At 37.5% G+C, this 24,822-nt stretch overlaps 2 long non-coding RNA genes across 5 annotated transcripts in view; one reads left to right on the top strand and one right to left on the bottom strand.

Moving 5' to 3' along the window:
* Positions 1–10,155, top strand: part of LINC02254 (long intergenic non-protein coding RNA 2254) — a 151,441-nt gene extending 141,286 nt beyond the window's left edge. The window contains exon 5 of the long non-coding RNA NR_120324.1: positions 9,185–10,155. This is a non-coding gene — a long non-coding RNA (long intergenic non-protein coding RNA 2254). The remainder of the gene's footprint in view (positions 1–9,184) is intronic.
* Positions 1–24,822, bottom strand: part of LINC02253 (long intergenic non-protein coding RNA 2253) — a 197,799-nt gene that overhangs the window by 51,565 nt on the left and 121,412 nt on the right. The gene's annotated exons all lie outside the window — the stretch shown is intronic.

Here is a 24,822-nt window from a genome sequence, read left to right as displayed (position 1 = left end):
TCTTCTCAGGGAATTATTCCATAAAAGTTTTTTGGCAATCTATCATCATACCTGAGAAAGCTTAATAGTAATTGTCTCTTCTTGCTCAGCTAGACTATCTGCAGCCCTTAAATGCAAAAGGTATTTTGTTTTGTTTTGATTTTCCCTCTTTTCCTACACATCTCTGTCTTATCCTAAGTCTGGACCTTTAAGTAATTTTTTCCTCTCTTTTAAATTTAATTCCCTTGTCTCTAATCTCACCCTAGCTAATCCTTCAGGAATGATTAATGTCCATTTTGACAGATATTTTTTGAGTCAGTGTTAGAGTTTTCATTTATGGTTTTTTCTTTGGCTAAAAATCCCTGATACTGGGTAACAACATCAAGAATGAACAACAAGGTTGGTTCAAAGTGAATGATGACCTGATCTTCTCAGAGCAGATTAAAAGTGATCTCTTTTCTTTGAAAAAAGTGAGCCCTTTGGACACTTTACAAATACATTCTATGGTCTTAGCAATAAGGTCATGTATTGTTGATTGTGAACATTCCTGTCCAATGAGGCTTTGAAAAGAGTACTATTACCACTTCAAATAAAAACTTAACAAGGCTTGAGTTTGCAAAGAGGAAAACTAATAGTAACTCTTATAGAAGAGAATCAATTCCGTGGTGTGCCACATAGTCATATATGAAATTTGAAATGAGTTACTGTGAACTCATTGTGGCTCTTCCTGAAAACCCTCTTAACTGTTATGGTTAAAACAGCTACATGAGTTTAAGAGACTAAATAACCAAGACTTTTATATCCTAACCCTGCTTGTGCCCCAGGCTGGCCAGTTTAAAAAGACCCAGTCTGATCAATCTATTGCAAACATTGTCGAAGAGGGCCATGACATATGGGATTCTGAACACTAGTAACAGGATTGTCATAGACTTTCAAGGGAGCTAAGAAATTATTCCTAAGTATTGTAAAAATAGCATCTTACAAACAGAGCACTTCATATTATAGAGTGGCTCTCATGTCTCAACAGCAAAACAAAGACTTTAAGAAATCTAACAAACTGTATGCCCAATAAAACCAAGCATAATTAATTGAATTATATAACTCCATAAGAAAAAAATAAAACAGTAAAAAATTAGACTTAATGAAAATAATTATTGGTTCTACTATTTATTGTATGATCTAAAGCTTTCTAAATGCAGGTGACTGAATTATAATTAATAAAATTAATTGTTAGGTAGTTTTTTGGTTCAACTGGGGATTTTCTCCCCAACATTTATTTATGCGTATTTAAAAAGTGTTAGCTCTATTCAATAAATGCCAAGCATCTAATAAAAATAAAATAAAATCACTACACTCACCTTTGGAGAAATATATTTACAACATTTTATAGAGTCATGTTAATAACTTAGTAAGTTAATAAATGCCATTTATTGAGAGTTTACTTGTGTTAAACACTGTCCTTATTTCCTTCAACAAAATAACATCTGTGTTATTATTTTCTCTGCTTTACTGATGAGGAAACTGGGTTTCAGAGTGTCTACAGGATTTGCCCAAGGTCACTCAATCAGTGACAAAATTCTAATGACAATTTTGCACAGGCTGATGAGTAACTAGCCCCTGAGCTACTTCATAGGAGCTCTCACTGCCCAACAGGCCAAAGACAGAGAGGGCGATGTTAGCAGCACGTGGAACACTGAGGGAAGGGCAGAGGAGACCTCTAAGATGAGGCTGACTGGGGAACCTAAGTTAAAAGTTGTAAAATGAACTTTGGTCAGGGATTTGGTGGGGGTATATGTCCCATGCTGGGGTGACTCCTCCTCTAAGGTGCAAGTTACTTGGAGGTAGAAAACCACTAGGCAATTGGAGCCCAAGTTTCAAAAGAGGTCTCTGAAAGCCTCTCTCTCACTACCAGCCTTACCTCCAAGAAGGCCAAAGCCTGCTCCTTGTTTGAAGATTAGTGGGATTATTTATAATCCCACTTCTTGTTTGAAGATTAGCAGTTTGTTTAAGAATGACGCCAGATAAATGAATAGCCAATGCATATGACCAGCCTAGACAGTCCAGACAGATATATGTACACTGAAATGGACACACTGACCATCTTCAACACTTGAGTTAAGTCCCATCTTTGACCCATAACTCCAACCCAGAACCTCCACATTTTCATGCCTGGACCACCCATGGTGAGTGCATGGAAAAGGGTCAAGATGAGATTGCCCGGCATTCTCTGCAGTCCGCCTTCTATCTTCTGCTTCTATGTATGTTAAACTCCTGAGGTGTGCTTCCACAAGGTTTAGTGGGGGTGACTGTCTTTCATGGTAACTACAGCATAAGAATGAATCAGCATCTAGTGATTACATGGAAATCAGGCCATTTAATTTATCAGTTTAGATACTGATTGATTGGTAATTACTCTGTATAAGATACTGGTTTTTAGAATCATGTGCATTCATGAACCTATATTTATTTAAATTTTAACTAAATATTTATACTTCTATCACTTGAAATATTAAATACATGTCAATTATTTTGAGCTTAATAAACTGGATAAATGTGCTTATAAGAATTGAGTATGTTCCTCAGTTTACCACAGAAACAGTTTTAGGCAAAATACTACCTTTAGAAACTAGTATTTAATAAAAGACACCTGCATATTGCTTGCTTAACGAAATAACCTTATCTTACAGTTACAAAAGGCTGCATCTGACAAGAATGAGGTTTATCACTGTATTTATAAAGAAATGTACAAACAAATTAATAATGTGTGTTAGTATTTTATTAATCACACTTCGGATCTGCAAGAAAACTGATATTACTGTAGGTACAAGTGAGCATCACATACCAATCAGTTAGGCAAAATACAAACTTCATCTATTAGATGCTGGCCTAATCTGTACATCACCATCATCAAAGAACAAAAGTAGATAAAACCACAAAGATGGGGAAAAAACAGAGCAGAAAAACTGGAAACTCTAAAAAGCAGAGCGCCTCTCCTCCTCCAAAGGAACGCAGTTCCTCACCAGCAACGGAACAAAGCTGGACGGAGAATGACTTTGACGAATTGAGAGAAGAAGGCTTCAGACGATCAAACTACTCCGAGCTACAGGAGGAAATTCAAACCAAAGGCAAAGAAGTTAAAAACTTAAAAAAAAATTTAGACGATTGTATAACTAGAATAACCAATACAGAGAAGGGCTTAAAGGAGCTGATGGAGCTGAAAGCCAAGGCTCGAGAACTATGTGAAGAATGCAGAAGCCTCAGGAGCCGATGCCATCGACTGGAAGGAAGGCTATCAGTGATGGAAGATGAAATGAATGAAATGAAGCTAGAAGGGAAGTTTAGAGAAAAAAGAATAAAAAGAAACGAACAAAGCTTCCAAGAAATATGGGACTATGTGAAAAGACCAAATCTACGTCTGATTGGTGTACCTGAAAGTGACGGGGAGAATGGAACCAAGTTGGAAAACACTCTGCAGGATATTATCCAGGAGAACTTCCCCAATCTAGCAAGGCAGGCCAACATTCAGATTCAGGAAATACAGAGAACGCCACAAAGATACTCCTCGAGAAGAGCAACTCCAAGACACATAATTGTCAGATTCACCAAAGTTGAAATAAAGGAAAAAATGTTAAAGGCAGCCAGAGAGAAAGGTCAGGTTACCCACAAAGGGAAGCCCATCAGACTAACAGCGGATCCCTTGGCAGAAACTCTACAAGCCAGAAGAGAGTGGAGGCCAATATTCAACATTCTTAAAGAAAAGAATTTTCAACCCAGAATTTCATATCCAGCCAAACTAAGCTTCATAAGTGAAGGAGAAATAAAATACTTTACAGACAAGCAAATGCTGAGAGATTTTGTCACCACCAGGCCTGCCATAAAAGAGCTCCTGAAGGAAGCACTAAACATGGAAAGGAACAACCGGTACCAGCCACTGAAAAATCATGCCAAATTGTAAAAACCATCGAGGCTAGGAATAAACTGCATCAACTAACGAGCAAAATAATCAGCTAACATCATAATGACAGGATCAATTTCACACATAACAATATTAACTTTAAATGTAAATGGACTAAATGTTCCAATTAAAAGACACAGACTGGCAAATTGGATAAAGAGTCAGGACACATCAGTGTGCTGTATTCAGGAAACCCATCTCACATGCAGAGACACACATAGGCTCAAAATAAAAGGATGGAGGAAGATCTACCAAGCAAATGGAAAACAAAAAAAGGCAGGGGTTGCAATCCTAGTCTCTGATAAAACAGACTTTAAACCAACAAAGATCAAAAGAGACAAAGAAGGCCATTACATAATGGTAAAGGGATCAATTCAACAAGAAGAGCTAACTATCCTAAATATATATGCACCCAATACAGCAGCACCCAGATTCATAAAGCAAGTCCTGAGTGACCTACAAAGAGACTTAGACTCCCACACAATAATAATGGGAGACTTTAACACCCCACTGTCAATATTAGACAGATCAACAAGACAGAAAGTTAACAAGGATACCCAGGAATTGAACTCAGCTCTGCACCAAGCGGACCTAATAGACATCTACAGAACTCTCCACCCCAAATCAACAGAATATACATTTTTTTCAGCACCACACCACACCTATTCCAAAATTGACCACATAGTTGGAACTAAAGCTCTCCTCAGCAAATGTAAAAGAACAGAAATTATAACAAACTATCTCTCAGACCACAGTGCAATCAAACTAGAACTCAGGATTAAGAAACTCACTCAAAACCGCTCAACTACATGGAAACTGATCAACCTGCTCCTGAATGACTACTGGGTACATAACGAAATGAAGGCAGAAATAAAGATGTTCTTTGAAACCAATGAGAACAAAGAGACAACATACCACAATCTCTGGGACACATTCAAAGCAGTGTGTAGAGGGAAATTTATAGCACTAAATGCCCACAAGAGAAAGCAGGAAAGATCCAAAATGGACACCCTAACATCACAATTAAAAGAACTACAAAAGCAAGAACAAACACATTCAAAAGCTAGCAGAAGGCAAGAAATAACTAAAATCAGAGCAGAACTGAAGGAAATAGAGACACAAAAAACCCTTCAAAAAATTAATGAATCCAGGAGCTGGTTTTTTGAAAGGATCAGCAAAATTGATAGACCGCTAGCAAGACTAATAAAGAAGAAAAGAGAGAAGAATCAAATACACTCAATACAAAGTGATACAGGGGATATCACCACTTATCCCACAGAAATACAAACTACCATCAGAGAATACTACAAACACCTCTACACAAATAAACTAGAAAAACTAGAGGAAATGGAAAAATTCCTCGACACATACACTCTCCCAAGACTAAACCAGGAAGATGCTGAATCTCTGAATAGACCAATAACAGACTCTGAAATTGTGGCAATAATCAATAGCTTACCAACCAAAAAGAGTCCAGGAGCAGACGGATTCACAGCCGAATTCTACCAGAGGTTCAAGGAGGAACTGGTACCATTCCTTCTGAAACTATTCCAGTCAATAGAAAAAGAGGGAATCCTCCCTAACTCATTTGATGAGGCCAGCATCATCCTGATACCAAAGCCAGGCAGAGACACAACCAAAAAAGAGAATTTTAAACCAATATCCTTGATGAACATTGATGCAAAAATCCTCAATAAAATACTGGCAAACCGAATCCAGCAGCACATCAAAAAGCTTATCCACCATGATCAAGTGGGCTTCATCCCTGGTATGCAAGGCTGGTTCAATATACGCAAATCAATAAATGTAATCCAGCATATAAACAGAACCAAAGACAAAAACCACATGATTATCTCAACAGATGCAGAAAAGGCCTTTGACAAAATTCAACCCTTCATGCTAAAAATTCTCAATAAATTAGGTATTGAAGGGACGTATCTCAAAATAGTAAGAACTATCTATGACAAACCCACAGCCAATATCATACTGAATGGGCAAAAACTGGAAGCATTCCCTTTGAAAACTGGCACAAGACAGGGATGCCCTCTCTCACCACTCCTATTCAACATAGTGTTGGAAGTTCTGGCCAGGGCAATTAGGCAGGAGAAGGAAATAAAGGGTATTCAATCAGGAAAAGAGGAAGTCAAATTGTCCCTGTTTGCAGATGACATGATTGTATATCTAGAAAACCCCACCGTCTCAGCCCAAAATCTCCTTAAGCTGATAAGCAACTTCAGCAAAGTCTCAGGATACAAAATCAACGTACAAAAATCACAAGCATTCTTATACACCAATAACAGACAAACAGAGAGCCAAATCATGAGTGAACTCCCATTCACAATTGCTTCAAAGAGAATAAAATACCTAGGAATCCAACTTACAAGGGATGTGAAGGACCTCTTCAAGGAGAACTACAAACCACTGCTCAATGAAATAAAAGAGGATACAAACAAATGGAAGAACATCCCATGCTCATGGGTAGGAAGAATCAATACCGTGAAAATGGCCATACTGCCCAAGGTAATTTATAGATTCAATGCCATCCCCATCAAGCTAGCAATGAATTTCTTCACAGAATTGGAAAAAACTACTTTAAAGTTCATATGGAAGCAAAAAAGAGCCCACATCGCCAAGTCAATCCTAAGCCAAAAGAACAAAGCTGGAGGCATCACGCTACCTGACTTCAAACTATACTACAAGGCTACAGTAACCAAAACAGCATGGTACTGGTACCAAAACAGAGACATAGATCAATGGAACAGAACAGAGCCCTCAGAAATAACGCCACATATCTACAACTATCTGATCTTTGACAAACCTGACAAAAACAAGCAATGGGGAAAGGATTCCCTATTTAATAAATGGTGCTGGGAAAACTGGCTAGCCATATGTAGAAAGCTGAAACTGGATCCCTTCCTTACGCCTTATACAAAAATTAATTCAAGATGGATTAAAGACTTAAACGTTAGACCTAAAACCATAAAAACCCTAGAAGAAAACCTAGGCATTACCATTCAGGACATAGGCATGGGCAAGGACTTCATGGCTAAAACACAGAAAGCAATGGCAACAAAAGCCAAAATTGACAAATGGGGTCTAATTAAACTAAAGAGTTTCTGCACAGCAAAAGAAACTACCATCAGAGTCAACAGGCAACCTACAAAACGGGAGAAAATTTTCGCAACCTACTCATCTGACAAAGGGCTAATATCCAGAATCTACAATGAACTCAAACAAATTTACAAGAAAAAAACAAACAACCCCATCAAAAAGTGGGCGAAGGATGTGAACAGACACTTCCCAAAAGAGGACATTTATGCAGCCAAAAAACACATGAAAAAATGCTCACCATCACTGGCCATCAGAGAAATGCAAATCAAAACCACAATGAGATATCATCTCACACCAGTTAGAATGGTAATCATTAAAAAGTCAAGAAACAACAGGTGCTGGAGAGGATGTGGAGAAATAGGAACACCTTTACACTGTTGGTGGGACTGTAAACTAGTTCAACCATTGTGGAAGTTAGTGTGGCAATTCCTCAGGGATCTAGAACTAGAAATACCATTTGACCCAGCCATCCCGTTACTGGGTATATACCCAAAGGACTATAAATCATGCTGCTAGAAAGACACATGCACACATATGTTTATTGCGGCACTATTCACAATAGCAAAGACTTGGAATCAACCCAAATGTCCAACAATGATAGACTGGATTAAGAAAATGTGGCACATATACACCATGGAATACTATGCAGCCATAAAAAATGATGAGTTCATGTCCTTTTGTAGGGACATGGATGAAATTGGAAATCATCATTCTCAGTAAACTATCGCAAGAACAAAAAACCAAACACCGCATATTCTCACTCATAGGTGGGAATTGAACAATGAGAACACATGGACACAGGAAGGGGAACATCACACTCTGGGGACTGTTGTGGGGTGGGGGTAGGGGGGAGGGATAGCATTAGGAGATATACCTAATGCTAAGTGACGAGTTAATGGGTGCAGCACACCAGCATGGCTCATGTATACATATGTAACTAACCTGCACATTGTGCACATGTACCCTAAAACTTAAAGTATAATAATAATAAAATAAAAAAAAGAAAAGTAGAAATACATGCAATTAACACTTTACGTGCCCCAGCATTTACCCTAACAGGGAGCAAATCCTAAACCTCAGACCACTCACTCTATTCGTTGAGCATGGGGATCCTCTATGTTTCTCCATCCTTTCTCCCAGACGTTAATTACCTCTTGGATAAAAAGAAAAGGGAAAAGTATTGGAAGAGTCCAATGTATTTTAAAACCTGTAATGCTCAAATGAAACCAAACAATACTTTGCAAACTGTAAATTGTCATAGAGGTGTAGATTATTATTTCCATTGCAAAATTATCCTAACTGAACCTAGAAAAAAAGAGAGACAAGTAAATATAGTAAAATAATAATTATTTCTAAAGGAAATGATTCCACAGTATCAGCATAAAATTAAAGGTCTGGACCAATAGGTTTCTATTTACTCTAGGCAGAGAATCTTATCTGGAACAAATAGATACTCAACTAGCATCTTGTAGATAGATCCTCATGAATGATAATGTTGTCACTAAAGGTTTTGTTTTACAAGACTTTACCACCCTTGAGAGGCAATTGCGTTAAGATAGTATTGACATTTCTCAAGATAGTATTGAAAAGTCCACATCGATTACACAAGGCAACTGATCAGTAACAGCACCTTGCAAGTACCTACTATTTTGCCTTCTAATAGAGTAGCAAGTTCTGTGCTGTCAGTGTGTCTGAATCGGGTATCAATAACAAGAGTTGTGTGATTTTAGAAGGACACATTCCAATATCTGAACCTCTGAAAGATGGAAAAGGATATATCTTACCCTCGTTAAGTCTTCTGATACTTGCTTAATCAGAAACATAACTCTCAGATCCTAACTCTTAATATATGGCCCAGCCTCATCCAACTTTTCAAGTGTTTCCTTTTTCCCGTTGTACAGTTTTATTGCATTTTAATGGTGATGAGTGATATACTGTCATAGGAGAATATATTTTCATTCTGTGTCATATAAAACTCTGGCTCTAGTATCTAAATGTTAGACACATCTGTTAATAGGCCAGAGATTGACCCTCTCTCTCCTTTTTTCTTTTTGAACCTGAGATTTGACAAATTTTAAAACAAACATGTACTCAATGGCAAATTTATTATCATATTAATTTTTTCTTTTATTCATATAGATAAAAATACATGCAAGCATATGCACTTGTGCATACATAGTGCTGCTTAATGAACATATGTCATTGTGGAAGGAGAGGAGAAATCCGGGCTTGTTCATTGTTAAGAGGACCCTTCTGCTGAGTGGAACCTGGCCATCTTTGATCAATGTGGCTAAAGCTTGTGAACTGACTCTTCTACTCCTGGTACTTACTTATACCATTTTTTCCCACCAAGGAACAACCTTAATGGATTTTAGTAGAATCGCCTCCTTTCACTCTTAGTGGTGCCATTCCCACTCTGTCATAGACGAGCAGCCTTATTAGTCACACTCAGGACCAGTACTAGCAACAATCTGTCACTGTGGCCGACGGCACGCATCATCCATGATAACTAAACATTCACCCCAAGACCTGATGATTTGTCTTGGCACTGCATCCTGTAGCACAAAGCAACAGAAACCAGTGGTTATGCCTGTCCTTTCTATCTTTTATTCTTTCTTTCTTTTTTTTTTTTTTTTTTGGTCATAGCTCAAAGCTTATTGAGTGTAAAAGACATTTTCCCTTTAAAAAATGCTTACTCGATGTTATCTCCTTCACGCTCTGGGTCGAGCTCATTTGGTGAAGGGTCATCACACACTCCCTTTGTGATAATGTCAGTGAGTCAATAGAGTGGATTGGGGATTTCGGTTTCTATCTGAATTTTGACGATCTGCTTTTCTTGCAATATTTAACAGGAAAATATGGATTGCAGCCTGTGCTTGCCTGCCAAAGTGACTCTTCCATTTTATTATCGTTTATTTTCCTTTATTTCTAGGATGAGTTCTACAATAGACATAGACAGGGAATAGAATTAGTGTGAGCCAATCAGATCCTACTAGCATAAGCAACCCCCATAAGGTGATCATGATGTACAACGCCAATGCTAGTACTCTTGGGTGCAATAATTTATTGCAATCATAAAATGTATGTAAAATAAATAATATTTTTAATAATTACTGTTTATTGTGTGCTTACATTTTGCCACGTACGTGTCGAGTATTTTAGTTTGGTGGATTATTTGCATTTTCTCATTTTATTCATGTTAGAACCCTATATGGTGGATGCAGTTTTTATCATTTTACAGATGAGGAAACTGAGACTATAATGGATTAAAGACTTTGGTCAAAAATACACAGCCCACAATAACAGAGCCAGAATGGCATTCAGGTTTGTCCGCCACCAAAACCTGAGGTCACCAGCAACAATTCACAATAAATCGACTTAGAAACACCGTGAGGATTCTGCAAAAGATAAAATGTACTTTTAGTATCACACCTCCTAATAAGCAAATAAGCAAATAATTTTAAAATATACTTTTAGTTAATACTTTGCAAGGTACTATTCAGATGTCTAGCCGCCTCAAACATCTTCTCTGCCTTCCATATATCTGTAAGCAGATGAATAGACATATTTACATGATACTATCCTGCCCTCCATGCCTCTGGCAAAGCTGACTAGTTTCAGGGCTTCCACTAGTGTCAACCTAACTGAAGCAGCTGGATGAGCTCTCTCCAGATTTTGAGAATGGTATTCAGAGAAAACTAGTTAATCTTGTGTATTAGTCCATTTTCACACTGCTATAAAGATACTACTTGAGACTGGGTAATTTGTAAAGAAAAAGAGGTTTAATTGACATACAGTTCCGCATGACCAGGGAGGCCTCAGGAAACTTACAATCATAGCGGAAGGCGAAGGGGAAGCAAAGCACATCTTACATGACAGCAGGCATGAGACAGTGAGAAGTGCCACACTTTAAAACCATCAGCTCTCGTGAGAATTTGCTCACTATCACAAGAACGGCATGGGGGAAACGGCCCCCATGATCCAATCACCTTGCACCAGATCTCTCTTTCAACATGTGGGGATTACAATTTGAAATGAGATTTGAGTGGGGACACAGAGCCAAACTAACATCTTGAGTGTAGCTGATGGTGAAAGACTGATGCAATTTGGACACATAGGTTAGCTATCTTTCACCATGAGGACTGAGAGGCAAAGACAGCCAGTTTGCCCAGACAAAAGAAAGAAGTTGATGCAGACAAGAAAGAGTCTGGGTTTTCTAATTCCCAGTGGCAACTCCTTTTGAGATCATGCTGCATGCATCTTCAGGATTCTTTAAGACACCTTGATTTCAATACTGAATACTCAATTATCATACCCATGACCTTATTAATCTTATTAATACTTTTTAAGTTAAATGAAAACCCTTCAAATTGAAAAAGGTTCAGCTAATGCATATATTTGTTTTTTGTTTGTTTTTGTTTTGTTTTGTTTTTTTGTTTTGAGGCAGAGCCTCACTCTGTCGCCCAGGCTGTAGTGCAGTGGCGTGATCTTGGCTCACTGCAACCTCCACCTCCCGGGTTTGAGCAATTTTCCTGCCTCAGCCTCGTGAGTAGCTGAGATTACAGGTGACCATCACCACACCCCGCTAACTTTTGTATTTTTAGTAGAGACAGGGTTTCACCATATTGGCCAGGCGGGTCTCGAACTCCTGACCTTGTGAGCCACATGCCTTGCCTTGGCCTCCCAAAGTGCTGGGGTTACAGTCATGAGCCACTACACCTAGCCCGTTTTCTCTTTCTTTCTTTCTTTCTTTCTTTCTTTCTTTCTTTCTTTCTTTCTTTCTTTCTTTCTTTCTTTCCTTCCTTCCTTCCTTCTTTCTTTCTTTCTTTCTTCTTTCTCTTTCTTTCTTTCTTTCTTTCTTTCTTTTCTTTCTTCTTTCTCAACTCAGATTACAATGCATGACATATGTGGACCAATATCAGTGACTGTAAGGCAATCTGGGCTTCGAGCACATAGATATCCTTGGTACAATAGATAAAGCATCCTCTTATATACTGTATTTACTAGGCAGGAACTGGGATGCTTTAATGTTTCCAAAAACAGAAAGCCACCCCTTCACCCCCGAAGACTTCGGCTCTCACTGGGTCACTGTAACAGATGAGGAGGTTACCTTACGCTCTCTCCATCCTGAGAAGCAATGTTGCTCATTAAATTCCCCATATCTTCCAAGAAATGATGGTGGCCCCAGGCTCTTAATGTTTTACACTTGTGTTATTTATCTCTCTGCAGTCCCAAGGGATCAAATCTGAGACACCACAGTCTGCCATTCAAAATGTGTGATTTTACTAGAAAATAAATATTTCACACACAATGTCTACTAATCCCTTTTTATCTCTCAATTAAAAGAGGAAGGAATTGTCTTCTAAGAGAGTTGAAATAATGTTTTTCTCCCCAGCATCAGAAATTAATCTTTCCAGTAGATGTTAACCACCAGCCATTGTCTTTTGCTTCCGTCATACCACTTGCCAGGACATGGATATATCATGTGTTTTCAGTCTCCTAAACCCAAAATTTCCCCACCACCAACTTTTTATGGAACCAATAAAATCCTAATTAAGTCCATTTCAAGACTTAGGTGAATTTCAACATGGGTGAGATGGCTCCTCTTTCATTCAGTCCTCCCTCATATGTTCCCATGCCCAAAGCTCAGTATTTGCATTTCCATTGAACAGCTGTGCAATATGTTTTATATCACAGGTAAGAACTCATGTGCCTATCTCCTGCACTAATTTAAGTTTTTTGATGCAGACTTGGTCTAACTTATTTTTAATTATTAAAATGTCCCGTAAATAGGCAAATTTATATAATAGAAATATAACAAAAATTGTTGTTTGTCACATGTAAATAAACCCAAGTACAAGTTCACATTTCCTTAACAGAAACCTTCTTTAGAGTGTGTTATAAGTTTAGAATATATATATATGTGTGTATGTGTGTGTGTGTGCACGTGTGTGTGTGTATTCTAAACTTATAACACACTCTAAAATGTGTATATATATGTGTGTATATATATATGAAGGGTATTAAAGTGTACCTAACTGGGCTTCAGGCTGCCCCCTGAGTTAAATACATTAATATTGCAGGCTGTGGAGCACAACAATAGTCTTAGCAAATAAAACAGAGAATATTAAGTTGTCCCAGTTTACTGTTTAACAGTTTTATGAAAAACAAAACAAATAAACAAACAAAAGATAGCAAAACTTTTGGAGTTCAACGAATTTTGAATTTCAGAATTACAGGTAAGGGACAGCAGATTTAGAATTCCATAAGGACTTTCTAAAAGAGTAAATGAAACTGTACCCATAATTATGTTAGACCCTTTAAGACGAACTCTTTCAGTCCGTACATCTACTAAAATGCCGGTTATCGCATGGTTCGGGCTTCCCTAGATGATTTCAGGGCCAATGATAGTAGTGTGTTATGCACACTCATAATTCTCCAGGTGTGCAAGGTAAATTACATAGTCAACCTAATAATACTTAATATTTATCCAGTGCTTAATTCATGCTGGGTGCTGTTATGAAGTGCTTTACATGTACTCACACATTTAATCCTTACAATAGCCCAATGAAATAGGCACTATTTCCATATTTACCAAAATGGGAATTGAAGCAGAGAGGTTAATTGACTTGTCTATGTTCTCACAGCTAAAAATAATGGAGCCCGAATTTTGATTCAGACAGAATGATTCTAGAGTCCTCTGAGTTCCCCCATCTTAACAGTTACGCTGTGTAGAAGTCTCCTCAACTGAACTGCTTAACTGTCTTTGACATAAAATGCTAGATTCATAGCCTTAGATATTTCATTTTAAACCCTGCTGCTCTCTGAATTATAACTCTAAATTTATAGACTTATGATTTAATTGATTTGCTGATAATTTCCAAATTGCTGAGAGACACCTAGACTTAGGAAATGGAAATGTAGCTTGTTGAAATGCACAAATTACTCTTTAATTATACTTAATAAAATAGGTACACAAAATTAAACACAATTTTTTAGGACAGAGACACACAGCCCATTGAATTTTATTTATTAGAAATAACCCACCTCATTCCAAAAAGAAATTGAGGGGCCAATTGACATGTTCACATTTCAACTTTTTTTTTCATAATGAATAAGAAAAAAACATGATAATATCTCACCTGAGAGTATTTAGAATATTCATTGCCTAGGACTGCTATAATAAATACCACAAACTTGGTGGCCTAAAATAACAGAACTGTATTCTCTCATACTTCTAGGGCCAGAAGTTCAAGATCAAGGGGTGGGCAGGGATGATATCGTCAGCAGGCTCTGAGGGGAATAAAATCCCCCGCGCTCCTCGGCCTGCATCTCTATCTGCGTCCATCTCATGCAGCACATGCTTCTCGGTGAAGCAGAGTATACAGCTCATCAGAATCCTTCATTTTTAACAATTGTTGTAGTTTGTATCTTTCAAAATATTTACTTTTAATAAAGTGGGTTTTTTTTCAGAATGTATAGACCTTATAAAGAAAAATATTCTTCAAATACGCAAGGATTCACTGAAATACATTTTCTCACCCCAATCATTTCCCTTGAGTAAAACAAGGAAGGGGCTGAGCACTGTGGCTCATGCCTGTAATCCCAATGCTTTGGGAGGCCGAGGCAGGAGGATCTCACATGAGGCCAGGAGTTTGAGACCAGGCTGGGCAATATAGAGAGACCCTGTCTCTATAAAAGTTTTTAAAAATTAGCTGCACATGATGGTGCTTGCCTGTAGTCTCAGCTACTTGGGAGGCTGAAGTGGGAGGATTGCTTGAACCCCAGAGTTTGAGGCTGCTGTGAGCTATGATCAGGGAACTGCACTCCAGCCTGGGTGACAGAGACTCCATATCTAAAATAAATAAATAAATAAAATTTTAAAAAGCTCTGGTTAAAAAAGAGGAACATATATATTTGGAGTGGAGGCACTGTTGTAACAAAATTGCCATATTAACAACTGCATATGAACTTTAAAGTAGTTTTTTCCAATTCTGTGAAGAAAGTCATTGCTAGCTTGATGGGGATGGCATTGAATCTATAAATTACCTTGGGCAGTATGTCCATTTTCACGATATTGATTCTTCCTACCCATGAGCATGGGATGTTCTTCCATTTGTTTGTATCCTCTTTTATTTCATTGAGCAGTGGTTTGTAGTTCTCCTTGAAGAGGTCCTTCATGTCCCTTGTAAGTTGGATTCCTAGGTATTTTATTCTCTTTGAAGCAATTGTGAATGGGAGTTCACTCATGATTTGGCTCTCTGTTTGTCTGTTACTGGTGTATAAGAATGCTTGTGATTTTTGTACGTTGATTTTGTATCCTGAGACTTTGCTGAAGTTGCTTATCAGCTTAAGGAGATTTTGGGCTGAGACAATGGGGTTTTCTAGATATACAATCTTATCATCTGCAAACAGGGATAATTTGACTTCCTGTTTTCCTAATTGAATACCCTTTATTTCCTTCACTTGCCTAATTGCCCTGGCCAGAACTTCCAACACTATGTTGAATAGGAGTGGTGAGAGAGGGCATCCCTGTCTTGTGCCAGTTTTCAAAGGGAATGCTTCCAGTTTTTGCCCATTCAGTATGATATTGGCTGTGGGTTTGTCATAGATAGCTCTTATTATTTTGAGATACGTCCCATCAATACCTAATTTATTGAGAGTTTTTAGCATGAAGGGTTGTTGAATTTTGTCAAAGGCCTTTTCTGCATCTGTTGAGATAATCATGTGGTTTTTGTCTTTGGTTCTGTTTATATGCTGGATTACATTTATTGATTTGCGTATATTGAACCAGCCTTGCATCCCAGGGATGAAGCCTACTTGATCATGGTGGATAAGCTTTTTCATGTGCTGCTGGATTCGGTTTGCCAGTATTTTATTGAGGATTTTTGCATCAATGTTCATCAAGGATATTGGTCTAAATTTCTCTTTTTTGGTTGTGTCTCTGCCAGGCTTTGGTATCAGGATGATGCTGCCCTCATCAAATGAGTTAGGGAGGATTCCCTCTTTTTCTATTGATTGGAATAGTTTCAGAAGGAATCATACCAGTTCCTCCTTGAACCTCTGGTAGAATTCAGCTGTGAATCCATCTGGTCCTGGACTGTTTTTGTTGATAAGCTATTGATTATTGCCACAATTTCACAGCCTGTTATTGGTCTATTCAGAGATTCAACTTCTTCCTAGTTTAGTCTTGGGAGGGTGTATGTGTCAAGGAATTTATCCATTTCTTCTAGATTTTCTAGTTTATTTGCGTAGAGGTGTTTGTAGTATTCTCTGATGGTAGTTTGTATTTCTGTGGGATCGGTGGAGCCTGCATCGCCAAGTCAATCCTAAGCCAAAAGAACAAAGCTGGAGGCATCATGCTACCTGACTTCAAACTATACTACAAGGCTACAGTAACCAAAACAGCATGGTACTGGTACCAAAACAGAGATATAGATCAATGGAACAGAACAGAGCCCTCAGAAATAACGCCACATATCTACAACTATCTGATCTTTGACAAACCTGACAAAAACAAGCAATGGGGAAAGGATTCCCTATTTAATAAATGGTGCTAGGACAACTGGCTAGCCATATGTAGAAAGCTGAAACTGGATCCCTTCCTTACACCTTATACAAAAATTAATTCAAGATGGATTAAAGACTTAAACGTTAGACCTAAAACCATAAAAACCCTAGAAGAAAACCTAGGCATTACCATTCAGGACATAGGCATGGGCAAGGACTTCATGGCTAAAACACCAAAAGCAATGGCAACAAAAGCCAAAATTGACAAATGGGATCTAATTAAACTAAAGAGCTTCTGCACAGCAAAAGAAACTACCATCAGAGTGAACAGGCAACCTACAAAATGGGAGAAAATTTTTGCAACCTACTCATCTGACCAAGGGCTAATATCCAGAATCTACAATGAACTCAAACAAATTTACAAGAAAAAAACAAACAACCCCATCAAAAAGTGGGTGAAGCACATGAAAAGACACTTCTCAAAAGAAGACATTTATGCAGCTAAAAAACATGAAAAAATGCTCACCATCACTGGCCATCAGAGAAATGCAAATCAAAACCACAACGAGATACCATCTCACACCAGTTAGAATGGCAATCATTAAAACGTCAGGAAACAACAGGTGCTGGAGAGGATGTGGAGAAATAGGAAGACTTTTACACTGTTGGTGGGACTGTAAACTAGTTCAACCATTGTGGAAGTCAGTGTGGCGATTCCTCAGGGATCTAGAACTAGAAATACCATTTGACCCAGCCATCCCATTACTGGGTATATACCCAAAGGGCTATAAATCATGCTGCTATAAAGACATATGCACACGTATGTTTATTGCGGCACTATTCACAACAGCAAAGACTCAGAACCAACCCAAATGTCCAACAATGATAGACTGGATTAAGAAAATGTGGCACATATACACCATGGAATACCATGCAGCCATAAAAAATGATGAGTTCATGTCCTTTGTAGGGACATGGATGAAATTGGAAATCATCATTCTCAGTAAAGCATTGCAAGGACAAAAAACCAAACACCGCATGTTCTCACTCATAGGTGGGAATTGAACAATGAGAACACATGGACACAGGAAGGGGAACATCACTCTCTGGGGACTGTTGTGGCGTGGGGGGAGGGGGGAGGGATAGCATTAGGAGATATACCTAGTGCTAAATGACGAGTTAATGGGTGCAGCACACCAGCATGGCACATGTATACATGTGTAACTAACCTGCACATTTGTACATGTACCCTAAAACTTAAAGTATAATAATAATTAAAAAAAAAAAAACCTGCAGCGTTAATGCCTCCACTCCATCAGAACTGAAACTCCCTGGACCAGCATGCGCCTGAGACCCTCGGCCCTTGATCTGGAGATTGGAAGTGGGGTAGTGTGGGCTTTTGAGGCCAGAGGCCAAGCTTTATTGGCAACAAAATGAATTAACCATAACAATAATCATGAAGGTACAATTTGCTGCCATCGATTTAAATGAAACTCTTTTTACATGTTTTTGCTTGACTTTGTCTTTAATAGATGATATCAAAATCCCAGAAATTATGTTTTACAGGGAGTGACAACTATAAAAATCTTGATTCCACTGCTTTTATTTCTCTGAACTGAATTTAACGGGCACCACTTCATGGGCAGATTCACTTTGGGGTAAATACATAGGTGTTATCCTGTTATTATTTCCTAAGGCTCATATTCTTCATGTATTTCTTTTAACGTGACATTGAAAGTAAGCCACTGCATTGTGTGACACTTAGCAGCACTTCTTATATGTTTAAAATTTATTGAATAACAAATAATAAATCCTGAAGTCAAGAGGAAGCCTGATGATTGTACCAGTATATTTCCTCAGCCGGCCCTAGGACACTACTTGAGCCTACAAAGTTGTTCACTGCCTTTTGTCTTTCTCTCTTTATCCAAATTCATGAGGGAATCCCTGTGGTAATTCCATGTGGAAGAACCTGAATTCATTTTAGACACCCTTATTTAGACAATTCCATTTCGGATATGCACAGGACTCTTTATGTGAGGTCCCAGAGACAAGGTGATTCCTATCCTGTGGGAAGTGGACATTTGTATTCGGTCAGTGGATGGAGAAAGGAACCAGGGAGCAGCCAGGTCATTCCCTGGAGGTCACGGAAGGAATCAGCATCACGCGCGAGGTGTATAATTCTAGCTCCAGTGTTCAAACCACTGCACTCACCTGTGTGTTAGACATGAGACAATTTGCAATGTCTTTAGAAATTGAGTTTGTTGCCAAATATGAAAGTTTTAGCTTATTTAGCAAGTAGGAATTTCTAAACCAAATCTCTAGTGTGGAAAATGTGATTTTTAAAATTGTCTTTAAATCCAATTAAGTATGTTTCAGAGTCCCTTCGCATTCAGTTGGTGGGAAATTCAACCTCAGAGGGGACTGGTTCTCCTCAATGTTCCAGGATGTTGCAAAGGTCCCGCTGTCTTAGAACATGTGGGGCATTTCTTTCTTTATTCCACCTAGGTGTTTTCCCAGTACAATGCCCAAGTATGAGAATTGTTCCCACAACAAAAAAGAGTTTGCCCAGCTCTCTTCTCCCTTCCTGAAGCCCTCCAAGGAATCCCCCTGTCTCCTCTCTCTTTGGACCATCTAACTTAATATCTTCAATCAGTAGAGATTTTCTGAAAGATTGGGAAATTCCATTGACTGCATGCATCTACTAAGCAACAAAGGAGAACAAATTCTGGCTATTTGATTTAAATAGGGAAAGAGGAAAAATACTAACTGCTAGCGCATCCATCACTGAGCCCCAGGCACCATTTGTAACACTTTACATATGTTTAATTAATATGGCAACAATATTGTGAAAAATGCCACCTTCTGTATTTTCACGACGAGAAACTGAGGAACAAATACATTCATTAAAATGCCTATGTCCACCCAAACAATTAAGTGGTGGAGCCAGGATTCTAACCCAGGCTGCCTGGCACCCAAGTCTATATTGTCTTACATTTTATACTGTTATCATAATACAATATCATAATACAATAAATTATCTTGCCACACTTGCAGTCCTAAACCACTGCAGAGGAATTTTTAATTTGACGTGAGATTTAGGAAACATGGATATATTTATTAGCAAAATTATAATATAAAAACTGGATTTTAATATATACTGTATATAAAAAGACAAGCTAGACCCTAAAGAACTTCAATGCTAAAAGAGATATCAGACCGCATAGCATAAACAAAACTAAATACATGGAATGAATTTCTAGTATTGTCAATTAGTGCTGTGCTGTAATCCTTCTGAATTTTGTTCTCTCATGTTTATAATCAGCAAAATACTATATAACTTGTGGAATGTCTGTTGCATGAATAAAAATTACAGTAAGACAATTTTGTGGTATACTATGTAAATTGTCAAGCACGAAATTTTTGTTTAATTTAGGCATTTTATATATTTTTAAAGGGAATAACATTTGTACAATACAATACTAAGCAGGCATTAAAAATCATCTGTTCTCTTGAGCCAGAGAGGCGGAGGTTGCAGTCAGCCGTGATCATGCCACGGCACTCCAGCCTGGGTGATAGAGGGAGATCTCGTCTCAAAAAAACAAAAACAAAAACAAACCAAAAACAAACAAACAAAAAGCTTTTCAAAGACTAGCAAATTAAGAATTGTTAAAAAAAAAAAGGTACTTATAATCCTTATTTTGTTAAAAAATAGTTTTGTATACTGCATATATTGTTGAATACTCCAGCCAATGCTCACCAGAAATATATCTGCAGTTTAAGTTAGGTTTATAAACTTTCTGTAGTAAGGGGAAGCACGCCCAAGGTATATCTCAGCAAGAGGCTCTTGGGACAGGCTTGTTGTGGGATTCAAGCTTCTACTGGGTGTTTTTGGTGAGGGGTTTAAGGAAGTGAGAGGTTGACAATAATTTTAGGTGCTTTCTTGAAAGAGTGGCATTTGGAGATTGGATATTTTAAAGATTTTTATCTAAAAGTCAGAAGAAATGAAGCTGAGCTAGAATGGTCAATGATGAGCTAATTACTGATGTTGGCCAACAGAGGAAGACATTTGGTTGTTTTTGTGGTTGTGTGACATCCTTGTCTTTGCCTTCTGGTCAGGCATGATTCCAGTGTGGCCTTGTTTTCATCCTATTTTACCACAGTCACAGAGTCAGCTCATTTAATTATTTGGGACATTCTGTGAAAAAGTTTATGTTCAGGCCAGGCACGGTGGCTCACACCTGTAATCCCAACACTTTGGGAGGCTGAGGCAGGCAGATAAAGAGGTCAGGAGTTCGAGACCTGCCTAACAAACATAGTGAAATCCCGTCTCCACTAAAAATACAAAAATTATCCAGGCATGGTGGCGCGTGCCTGCAGTCCCATCTACTTGGGAGGCTAAGGCAGGAGAATTGCTTGAACCCAGGAGGCGAAGGTTGTGGTGAGCCGAGATCGTGCCACTGAACTCCAGCCTGGGCAACAGATTGAGACTCTGTCTCCAAAAAAAAAAAAAAAAAATTATGTTCAGTAGGGAACATTACAACCTAGCTATTAGCTGCCAGGGTCATTTTGGCTTGTTTGTTTGTTAATCAATATATAGTGAAAAGACCAGGTAATTTAGTTGATTTTCTTCAGAAGTGAATTAGCTTTTAAAATTTCTACTAGCAACAAATATTATATTTACAATTGTACATATAGAATTTTATTGTTACCTATAATTATGTATAATTATATATAATTTAAATATAAATTATGTAATATTTTAATCTATACTATATATGTACATATGTGTGTACATATACACAGAAAGGGAGAGAGATAGGGACGTCTTTTCTGTTACTCACTGGGATGCATGCAGCTCTTAGCAGCAGTCAGATTAGAATTTGTACCTAACTCAATGACTTTTCCACAACTTTGATGGCTTTAAGAGGACTAGATTTTTATTTACTGCATTCTTATTGCAAATTTTGGCCTTATTGCTATTTGCCTTGAGAGGGCAAAGAGTCATTTCACAAGAAACAGCCCTAAGTTGCTTTTTCATCTTTGATGAAATTAAGTTTTCCTAAATCTGGGCGATATATTACTCATTGCTTTGCAACCAGATGGGATTCCTAATTGCAAATTAATTCTAAAGTCCTGGAGGTCACGGCCATATTTTATACATCCTTATGTGATGCTCTCCAATATGACTGACAAAAGTTATCAATGCTCAATAAATAGTTGCTGATGAGTAAATCACACACACTTGTGTGGGTGCGCACACACAGGCGCACTCACAAGTGTTTCTGGTTGGTCTTGACATTTTCATCGATACTCATTTTCTGACATCTCAAAACTTTCCACTTCTCTGTGTATGATATCATAATAATATAATAAACATAGTTAACCAATTAGTGTTGAAGATTAGAACAGACAAGAAGGAGAACTGCTGTGTCCTTCCCTCTTACTTCAAATACATACCCCATGTCACATGGAGTGATTTGTACAGATGGTGAAGAAGCATCTGTACAAGAGAAAAGAGAAGGCAACAGGTGGAAAGTCTCTGTGCAGCTGGTAAAATGATGTTCCTCTCTTTGGCAAGGCAGAGGAATCAGTGCCTACAGACCAGGGAGAGACCTGTGGCTTCAGAGACACAATTTCTCACTGGCCCCTGATACTGAGGTGGCTCCAGCTGAGAAGCTGGAGGAATTTGGAAGCAAAGTGCAGTACCGGTTTTAATGGACTAGAACTTTGTCAGTGATTAGAAGATTAACATGGGCATGCAATTACTAAAAAAAATAGTGAAGAGAGATGAATATTTTTGTGTTTTAAGGAAAAAACTCAGAAACCAGAGTTTTCTGCAGAGCAACTGGCAATACAAGTCTGGTACATTTACTGAAATATGAGAAAACTGAAAACATGGAAAGACGGTCCATTAGCTAGCTAATCAGCCCTGGAAGATGAAGTGAGGGCATTGAGATCCTTATTTTGAAATCAGGAGAAAAGAGGGGCAAGTTTAAATGATGAACTCAGAGGCATCCTGAAGGGAATGCCTGGCCCACTTCTATTGCAAATGTCAAAGTGTTTTTGAATGTTAATGTCCCTGAACCTACCCTGGGCCCAATTTCATAATTTTAATTGACTCTTGTGTATAAAGAATTCCCACTGCTGTCAATTTAAATTGTGCAGTTAGAACTCCAGGACTGGGTTCACTGTCTGCCAAGAGTATATTCTTTTAATACATTTTTATTTTTATAAAACCACATTGTGAGTCCAGAGGGAGAAATTGGGTAGAGGCTAGGGAATCAAGCCTGGCCTCTCCCTTAAATCACTTTCTGCATTTGGAAATGTCAGCCACTCGGAACACCCTTTCCTTCAAGTGAAAAATAAAGAGAATACTACTTATATCACAGTAGACATGGGAAAGGATTAAAGTTTGCATAGTCGACCAGGGTAGACAGAAGTGAAGATCTATGCAGAAAGAGAAAAAAAGGGGACTTAATCCTGATATGTGAGTGCATTTCATCCTGAATTCAAAACCAAAACCAAACAACTAAATTCAACTAGAAAAAGACATGCAAATCTCAAAAACTAGGACATAAGTGATTAAAATCTCCACTAGAATTATCTAGCTCACCTCTGTCTAGGAATTCCAGTGAAGACTGTCTCCTTGTTAGAAAGACAAAAAGCCATTTGTTGATATCATGGTGCTGGCAAGTGTAAGTAGCGACAGCCACATCATATTAACTTATAGCAGGGATCTTCCTTTCAGCACTGAGTCTTGAAAAATTAGACATACTGATTTCAGTAATTTGTTGCACGGTAGTGATGTCTTTTTTTCCCTCTTTTAACAGGCATTAATTATTGCATTTCAAGTAATGTAAAATATAGCAGCCTTGCCTACTGTCAGGTCAGCACGGGCTGGTGAGGTGTCCAAGTATGCATATGTGTGAGCATCTGACAGTGGGTGGTTTTGTTGCTTGCTTTATAAATATATTTGAATAAATGGCTTTTGAGTAAAGTGGTTGGAATTTAACAATTTAACTGGATTGACATATGAATTCACAGGAAGGGCTTAATTCCTGGAAAGACAGTTGTGCTTTGCCATGGCTTTGTCAGACGTGCACGCCACAATTCAGAGTACCTGGTGCAGTCAAAAAGGAGGAGGAGTCTACTGCAGAAAGAGAAGAGAAACCAGGAGTGAGGCAGAAATGGAAATGATAAATAATCTCTCCCAACTCAACCCTGACTCAGTCTCATTTCTCTCAGAGATCTAAGTAACAATGTTCAGATACTTAATCAGGGATACATATATATTTGTGTAAGTGTGTATATATAAATACATTTGTGTACGTTGTGTTTATATATATATACGTATACGTATATCTGTATAATACATATACATCGATATCTGTATAATACATATACATCGATATCTGTATAATACATATACATCGATATATGTATAATACATATACATCGATATATGTATTATACATATATCTATACATATATCGAGATATGTATAATACATATATCGAGATATGTATAATACATATATCGATATATATGTATAATACATATATCGATATATATGTTTATACATATATATCGATATATATGTATTGTACATATATATCGATATATATGTATTATACATATATATCGATATATATGTACAATACATATATATCGATATATGTATGTATAAACATATATATCGATATATGTATGTATACACATACATATACCCCACATACACAAATGTGTATATACACGTGTATATACATACACATATATATACACATGTATATACATACACGTATATATACACGTGTGTATACATACACGTATATATACACGTGTATATACATACACATATATATACACGTGTATATATACACATATATATACACGTGTATATATATACACATATATACACGTGTATATATACACATATACACATGTGTATATATATGCGTATATATACACATGTGTATATATTTATATTTGATTGCAAGCAAAGGAGTATAAATATATATTATATATAAATATATAATTAATAGATTTAATACATAATATATATAATTAAATACATATATACGTATTTATATATTTAATGTATGTATTTAATTGAAAGCAAAGGAGTATTTCTTTAAAATGCTGGAGAAAAAATACTGAATTTATTCACTTAAAAGGTTTGAGTTGGTCCCAAAAGCGTTTTAGATGGAGGCTGGGGTGGAGGGGTAGAAGCTTATTTTCTTTTAATCAGAATAAAGTTATTAGACATA

This window comes from Homo sapiens, chromosome 15 (assembly GCF_000001405.40).
Source record: "Homo sapiens chromosome 15, GRCh38.p14 Primary Assembly".
NCBI classification, from domain to species: domain Eukaryota; kingdom Metazoa; phylum Chordata; class Mammalia; order Primates; family Hominidae; genus Homo; species Homo sapiens.
The sequence above is the reverse complement of the archived record's forward strand: the minus strand, read 5'-3'. Positions and strand labels throughout refer to the sequence as shown.